This window comes from Homo sapiens, chromosome 2 (genome assembly GCF_000001405.40).
Source record: "Homo sapiens chromosome 2, GRCh38.p14 Primary Assembly".
Taxonomy (NCBI): domain Eukaryota; kingdom Metazoa; phylum Chordata; class Mammalia; order Primates; family Hominidae; genus Homo; species Homo sapiens.
Genome location: NC_000002.12, coordinates 65555004 through 65563672, shown reverse-complemented (window position 1 = coordinate 65563672; position 8669 = coordinate 65555004). Strand labels below are relative to the sequence as shown.

At 46.6% G+C, this 8669-nt stretch overlaps 1 pseudogene, besides 1 other annotated feature; it reads left to right on the top strand.

Moving 5' to 3' along the window:
- Nucleotides 4995-5623: an enhancer, noted in NCBI's record as "OCT4-NANOG-H3K4me1 hESC enhancer chr2:65785184-65785812 (GRCh37/hg19 assembly coordinates)". NCBI's record gives its function as "activates a minimal SCP1, AML or CMV promoter by ChIP-STARR-seq in naive and primed H9 embryonic stem cells {active_cell/tissue: H9 hESC(naive and primed)}" and the evidence as "EXISTENCE:reporter gene assay evidence [ECO:0000049][PMID:30033119]".
- VTRNA2-2P (vault RNA 2-2, pseudogene) lies at nt 8139-8241 on the top strand (annotated as a pseudogene).

The window sequence follows — 8669 nt, the reverse complement described above, 5'->3', positions numbered from 1 at the left end:
CTCACTCTGTCGCCCAGGCTGGTGTACAGTGGCGTGATCTCGGCTCACTGCAACCTCTGCCTCCCGGGTTCAAGTGATTCTTCTGCCTCAGCCTCCCTAGCAGCTGGGACTACAGGCACCCGCCACCATGCTGGCTAATTTTTTGTATTTTTAGTAGAGACGGGGTTTCACCATGTTAGCCAGAATGGTCTTGATCTCCTGACCTCGTGATCCGCCTGCCTCGGCCTCCCAAAGTGCTGGGATTACAGGTGTGAGCCACCATGCCAAGCCCAGACGACATAATTCTTACAGAATACCCTTTCCAGTAGCTTTCGGGAAATGACCCAGCTATAACACCACCTTAGGTGTGAGCAAGGTGCCAGCTTGAACTACCTGTTCCCATCTAGTTACTCAATCTGGGAAGGGCAGTCACAATATCCATGCCTGGGTCACTGCTGCAGAGTGAGCTGGGTGGCTCCCAAAGATAGGTGTCAGAGGTGGAAGTCATACTCATGACTGCCTGCTCCTTTTTGAACTTACTCCCCAGCCACCAGGCAAATGCGCAGGAGCTCTGCAGAGCATCCCAGTCTGGCCTATTGCCCACACCTTGCCCAGGCATTGGCTGCCACCTTGGCCCAGTTACACCAGCGGGAAGAGAGCTGTGTGGGGACCACAGAAGGTCACCACAGTAACCCAGATAATCCACTCATGCTGCAAAAATAGAAAGCAGCCTCCAGGCCGGAGGCATTCTAGGGTGGAGGGAGCCCTTTGAATTTTTTAGTGAACTTGGGTAAAAGCTCCTGGGTAGTCACTCTGCAAGGATTTTAAGGATTATCTAGAATGTTCAATAAATGTTTGTTGATTGATGCTTTTAATGTTCTTTGATCTTTTAAGTGGAAACTGTCATTTCAAGGGAAGTCCTTTTGTTTTCAGTTTCTTGGGATTACTGTGCAGGGACTAGTGATTGACAAATTCTTACACATTTTCCTCTAATTTCAAAAGTGTTTGCTCTTCACATTATATGTGATATGGTTTGGATTTGTGCCCCCACCCAAATCTCATGTCAAATTATGATCTCCAGTGTTGGAGGTGAGGTCTGGTGGGAGGTGATTGGATCACGGAGGCAGACTTCCCCCTTGCTGTTCTCATGATAGTGAGTGAGTTCTCATGAGATCTGGTTGTTTAAAAGTGTGTGGTACCTTACTCCTCTCTCTCTTCCTTCTGCTCCAGCCATGTAAGACGTACCTGCTTTCCCTTCACCTTCCACCATGATTGTAAGTTTCCTGAGGCCTCCCCAGCCATGCTTCCTGTACAGCCTGCAAAACCATGAGCCAATTAAACCTCTTTTATTTATAAATTACCCAGTCTCAGGTAGTTCTTTATAGCAGTGTGAGAATGGACTAATACAACGTGTGTGTGTGTATGTGTATGTGTATTCTCTTAAATTGCTCAGGCATATATGTCCTGAAAAGGCCGTATTTTCCACCATGGCTAAGCTGGCTGTGGCCCAGCCCTGGTGCTGGTGGGACCTCAGGCTCCTGCTCCCTGAGAAGGGAAGACCTAAGTAGGCAGGAGGAGCCAAGACAGCAGCTGCCTGAAAGCAGCGGCCGTTTTAAAGAGTCTTCAAGGTCCCAAATCCACAACAGGGAGGCAGAGAGGGAGGAGAGAGCAATAAAAAAGAAAGTAATCAAGTATGAAGATTATCCTCCATGGCTTTAATTCTATTTCCCCACTTCCAAAACAAACAGATGTACCAGTTTGCTTCTTAGGGCTAAGTGTGGTTAATACAACATTCCACAGCTCTCCACCCTCACCCCTGCCCTGTCAGGCCCACAGGTGGCGAAACCATACAATTTATTGTCATATATATAGAAAGTATATATACAATATATATGCAATATATACAATTCATTCTATATACACTATATATACACACACCATGTATATATACACACAATATATACACACACACACACTACATAGTATGAATTGTTACTATATATATATACATATACATTTAAAGCTTAAATGTCTCCTGGGCCTTGAGCAGGGGAGACTGATAGGTCTTCCCTTGCATTGATCTGAAATCCATTCCCCTGTTCCATAACATATATCCCCAGGAACTGAACATAACAAAGCACCAAGTTTTCTTTCTTCCACGGGATGAAACCTTGAGATAACTAAAAACTGCACTGACGCCTTCCCTGAGTTTCTGTTTTCTAACCCAAATGTCCCTGGTTCCATTGCTCATACGCCTCATCACCATCCAGTACAGTCGCAGCCATCTTTTCAAATGCGGTGCTTAAGGACTCAACACACTGCTCAATCCGTGAATACTGCAGTTCTATCAACTCCCATTTGCCAGATGCTATAGTTCTGTATATAAAACCTAAGATTCTACTAACAGTTTGGGTAGCCTCATGGCATTCTTTTTTCTTTTAATCCATTTTACCAACCCTACTCTCTAGTGTATGGAAGACGCTCAATAAATGATTCTGAGACGGAGTCTCACTCTGTCACCCAGGCTGGAGTGCATGATCTCTGCTCGCTGCAACCTCCCCACCCCCGGGGTTCAAGCAATTCTCCTGCCTCAGGCTGCCAAGTAGCTGGAATTACAGGTGCCTGCCACCACGCCTGGCTAATTTTTGTATTTTTAGTAAAGACGGGGTTTCACCATCTTGGCCAGGCTGGTCTTGAACTCCTGACCTTGTGATCCACCCACCTCTGCCTCCCACCACTCCTAGCCAATAAATGATTCTTCACTAAATGAATAGGTAGAATGAGTGTTTGGTACACACTGAGCTTTCTGTAGACTCACTTTTTTTCTTTTTTTGAGACGGAGTCTCAATCTGTCGCCAGGCTAGAGTGCAGTGGCGCAATCTCGGCTCATTGTAACCTCCACCTGGCCAGGTTCAAGCGATTCTCCTGCCTCAGCATCCTGCCTCAGCCAGGATGGTCCCGATCTCTTGACCTCGTGATCCGCCTGCCTCAGCCTCCCAAGGTGCTGGGATTACAGGCATGAGCCACCACGCCTGGCCTAGACTCACTTTTAAAATACGTGCATTTCAGAATAGATAGTGTTGATGTTGCACAACAATGTCATGTAATTAATGCCATTGAATTGTAGATTTAAAAATGGGAAATGGGGCCAGGTGTAATTCCAGCACTTTGGGAGGCCAAGGTGGGTGGATCATTTGAGGTCAGGAGTTCAAGACCAGCCTGGCCAACATGGCAAAACCCCACCTCTACTAAAAATACAAAAATTACTCAGGTGTAGTGGTAGGTGCCTGTAATCCCAGCTACTTGAGAGGCTGAGGCAGGAGAATCGCTTGAACACGGGAAGTGGAGGCTGCAGTGAGCCAAGATCGTGCCATTGCACTCCAGCCTGGGCGACAGAGTGGGACTCTGTCTCAAAAAATAAAAATAAACAGCTGGGCTTGGTGGCTCACACCTGTAATCTCAGCACTTTGGGAGGCCGAGGTGGGCGGATCACGAGGTCAGCAGATCGAGACCATCCTGGCTAACACGGTGAAACCCCGTCTCTACTAAAAATACAAAAACTTAGCTGGGCATGGTGGAGGGCACCTGTAGTCCCAGCTACTTGGGAGGCTGAGGCAGGAGAATAGCGTGAACCCGGGAGGTGGAGCTTGCAGTGAGCCGAGATCATGCCACTGCACTCCAGCCTGGGCAACAGAGTGAGACTCCATCTCAAAATAAGTAAATAAATAAATAAATAAATAAATAGATAAATAAATAAATAAATAAATAATTTTAAAAATATAAATACGAAATCGTAAATTTTATGGTATGTTTATCTAATCACAGTAAAAACCCAAAAACATGTTGCACAAATATTTCTCTTGACACATCTCTTTCAACCCTTCCTGATATAGCTAGGTATTAGCAGAACTATGTATAGGACCTGACACTTATCCCAGTAAAATTCCATCTTGCTATGTTGAGCCTATAAATTAAACTTTTGTTTATTCTGATTTCTGTCATCCAGCATATTTCTGTCCCTTCCTCCCTGATTGTGTCATTCATAACTTGATGACGATGCTTTCTATAGTCAAGATGCCAATAAATACGTTGACTGTATTGCTGGCTTTCAAGTTGTCATGCAGCTAGTTAGCTAAAGAGGCAGGACTAGAATGGGCCCAGCAAATGCCACCCAGTGCTTTGCACCATTCCACACTATCTCTGAGATGCCTGAACCCCCCACCCCAAGCCAAGAGCCAGCATACATCCTGGCACAGCCACACAGCTACAAAGGCACTACAGAGGACTGACCATCCCTATATAGGATCAAAAGGAACCGTTCTTACTCAGAGGCCCAGGAAGCACTCACAACGTTAGGTTCATGATGTTCCAGTGAACAAGATGAGATTTATGAACGAAATTTATAAATGCTTAAATGCTTGTACTCAAAGGGGGTGGGGAGAGTATCATATATATAATGTGGCGCTTCTCAAACCTTAGCATGAGCTTTTTCAAACACATAGCCAAGCCCTATACCCAGTTTTCTGGTTCAGCAAGTGTCTTAGTCCATTTTGTGCTGCTTTAACTAAAATACCTGAAACTAAGTGATTTGCAAAGAACTGAAACTTACTTTCTCTTACTTTCATCCCAGTTCCGGAAGCTGAGAAGTCCAAGATTAAGGCACCAACAGGTTCAATTGCCAGATGACAGACGCTGTCTGTTTCCAAGATGGTGCCTTGTTGCTGCATCCTCCAGAGGGGAGGAATGTTACGTCCTCACACGGTGGAAGGCGGAAGGGCGAACCAGCATGAAGTCCTGTATGAGGGAGGGCCCTCATGGCCTAATCACCTCTTAAAGGCTCCACCTCTTAACACCATCACATTGTCCGTTAAGTTTCAACACCTGATTTTTGGAGAAGATCCATTCAAACCATAACACGAGGTCTAAGGTAGAGCCGAAGAATTTTTATTTCCAACAACTCCACCGGTGATGCTGACGTTGCTGATTCAAGGACTACATTTTTGAGAACAATTAGTATAAGGAATGCATATCAACCTGATTCAAGGGACTCCATTTGAGAACAATCAGTATAAGGAATTCCTATCAATCTGCAGGAAGATTCTGGGCTTCCTAGGTTTCCAAAACCCTTTTCCAGAGGGTTCACAGCACTACAGAAGTCGGCTCCAGATACCGCCAAGAGAATCTGCCTTTCTCACAAATTCTGAAATCACGCCAGACCTCTGGTTTGGGGTGGGTTACATAATACCTCCTGGAGGCACAGGTAGTAAGACAATGGTTCAGAGTGACAAGACAAAAGAAACAACCTTCCCCACCAGCAGTACCTAAAGCTCTGTGATTTACATGCAGATAACAAAGCCAACACTCCCTCTTTTCTCCTCCCCCCATAAAAAGTAAAAGAAAGTGTTAGGATTGCCCCTCTCCTTTTTGCTACCCACTCAGGCAGTATATTGTCCTTTTGTGATTTCAAGCTGAACCTGATGCTCATTTTAAAGCTAATTTCATCTGCATGAGAATGATGGAGAAAATTAGCTTTGCCTGCAGCTATTCCCTATAGACCTGACCTGGGTCTCTCTGTGAGCTCCCTACCTGAGATGATGAGCTCAGGAGAATGATAGAGAAGCTCACTGCCTTTGCTGTTCACTAGTCTCCAAACCCAGGGAGAAGGTCCAGATGGTGATGATGATGATGATGATAATGATGATGATGATGATGATGATGATGAGAATTGGTATCAAACACTTAAAATGTGCCAGGCACTGTTCTTACTTCATCCTTACAACAATGCAGTGGATTAAGGCTGCTATGATCACCAGTTAATAGCCAGGGCAGCTGGAGCTAAGAATGATTATGTATCTTGCCCAAGGACACCTGCCATGGGCTGAATTGTGCACCCCTCCCCCAAAATTCATATGTTGAAATCCTACCTCCAGCAGCTCAGAATGTACTGTTATTCAGAGAGATAGGGTCTTTACAGAGGTAATTAAGTTAAAATGAGGTCACTAGGGTGAGCCCGAATCTAATCTGACTGGTGTCCTTATAAAAGCGGGAAATTGGGAGACAGACATGTATTAATATAAAGGGGAAATGATATGAAAAGACATAGTAGGGCCCAGGCACAGTGGCTGATGTCTGTAATCCCAGCACTGTGGGAAGCCAAGGCTTGAGCCCGGGAGCTGGAGACTAGCCTGGGCAACATGGCAAAACTGCATCTCTATAAAAATTACAAAAATTAGCCTGGCATGGTGACAAGTGCCTGTAGTCCCACCTACTAGGGAGGCTGAGGAGGGAGGATCAACTGAGCCCAGGGAGGTTGAGGGTGCAGTGAACCATGATTGCACCACTGCACTCCAGCCTGGGGGGCAGAGTGAGACTCTGTCTAGAAAAGAAGATAAAAGAGAAGAGGAGGAGAGGAAAGAAGCAGAGGGAAAAGGAGGGGAGGGGAGGATAGAGGAGACATAGAGAGAAGAAGATGGCCATCTATGAGCCAAGAAGAGAGGCCTGGAACAGATCTGTCCCTCATGGTCCTCAAAAGGAACCGACCTGACAAGCACCTTGATTTGACTCCGAGCTCCAGAACTGTGAGACAACAAATTTCTCCTGCTGAAGCCCCTCGGTCTGTGGTACCTTGTTATTGGCAGCCCTAGCAAACGAAGGCAACACCCAACCCTTATTCAAACCAGATACAACTGCTTCCACCCATGGGCTCTGGGGTGACTGTCATGCCACCTGGCCGAGAGAGCTCAGCAGCTGCCAAAACTATAGGCATCAAAGATGGGAGCACTGAGGCCCATTACTTCATCCATAGTCCTCCCACACATCCTATCCACCCCATCCCACGTTTTCTCCTTCCTGCTGGCTGCCTCCCCCAGCCGGTTCCTTGGGCCACTGATAGCCACCCCACTTCCCCAAGGCCCTTTCCCCACCTGGAACACCCTGGAGACCTTGTTCCCGTGAAGACAACCCCCTCTGCTTCTCAGCCTTTCTGCTAAATGCACCATCCACCTCCTGCTTCCGCAAGGAGAGGCTGCTTATTGTCCCACATGCCCAGGACCCAAGGCAAGAAGACAGAGAAGATATGCTTCCTGCTCCCAGTTGCTTCCTGCTCCCAGTTGCTTCCAGGACGTTAGCTTCCATCCTTGGCTTTTTCTCTTCTGACATTCCTCTTTCCAGACTATGCTTTACCTCCATTGAGAACTTTGGCACCCACCATCATCTTAAGAGATTTTAATATCCGTGTGAAGAACTCATCCAACATCCCGGGCTCAACGATCCCCAACCACCATGACTTTCACCTCCACTCCATCCACCCATGTTCATGGCCTCTGCCACACCTACACCATCTTCCTGAATCACCCCACCGCTGACATCATAAATCATGGTTTTGCACACTTTGACCTCACTTCCACCATCCCTGCTCCCTGCCCTTCCCTCCAGTCCCAGCAAAAACCTGCATTTCCACCACCAAGCCAGGCCTCTTCTCTCCCCTCCCCTGGGTTCCTTCCCCACCCCCGGGAGTGAGCTGGCTACCAGTTCTCTCCCATCAGCCTTCCGTCTGTCTTCACCGTTTTCTCTATATAGCTCTTTTCCATCAGTATTTAAAGTCAGCCAAATCTCTCTCATCTTTAAAGAGAATTCCATATGTATAAAATTTTTTCTGGATGAATATATAAGAAATTGATCATAACTGTTACCTTTGGACAAGGAGAGACGAGGGAGTCTGAAAAGTACAGAATTTTACTTTTCATTTTATACATTTGCTGTAGTGTTTGATTTTTTTACCACGTACATTAATATTTTTATTAAAAATAGCAAATAAGACCTGGCACGGTGGCTCACGCCTGTAATCCCAGCACTTTGGGGGGCCGAGGCAGGTGGGTCACTTAAGGTCAAGAGTTCAAGACCAGCCTGGCCAACATGGTGAAACCCTGTCTGTACTAAAACTACAAAAATTAGCTGGGCGTGGTGGTGCATGCTTTTAATCCCAGCTACTTGGGAGGCTGAGGAGGGAGGCAGAGGTTGCAGTGAGCTGAGATCACGCCACTACACTCCAGCCTGGGCAACAGAGCAAGACTCCGTCTCAAAAAAAAAAAAAGCAAATAAATAAATAAAACGCAATGATGTAACCACCTCCTCTTCTCCCTTAGATGAAGCCCTCCCTTGGGTCAGCTTTGGCTCAAGTGGTTACTTCCTCATGCCAGACTTTCTGTCTCTCTAACTCCCTGTGCTGGGGTTTGAATCCTGCAGGTGCTTTCTGATCTTTAAAAAAAAAAAAAAAAAAAAAAGCCCTCCCTCAACCCATCCTTCTGCTGCTCGGAGTCATGCCCTTTGCAGTCGACTGCACTCTCTGCCTCCACTTCCTGGCCTCACACTTGTTCCTTGCCCACTGAGACCCGGCTGTTTCATGCAACATCCCGCTGAAATGTACCAGCTGGCAAAAGGCACTCATCATCATCACTGTCACTAAATCCAGGGCTTGTACCTCCTGATTCTCCTTGATGGTCTTATGGCATCTGGTCCACTGACCACGCCCTTCTTAGAACACTCTGCGGCAGGCTGGGTCTCCCACTTCTTGCTCTAGATGACACTGGTGTTTCCCAAGGGACCAACCTCATCCTTCCCCTCAAGCACCACGAGAGTTCATCTTCACCCAACTTGTGGTTGAGTAGGATATGATGAAGACTCCACACCCC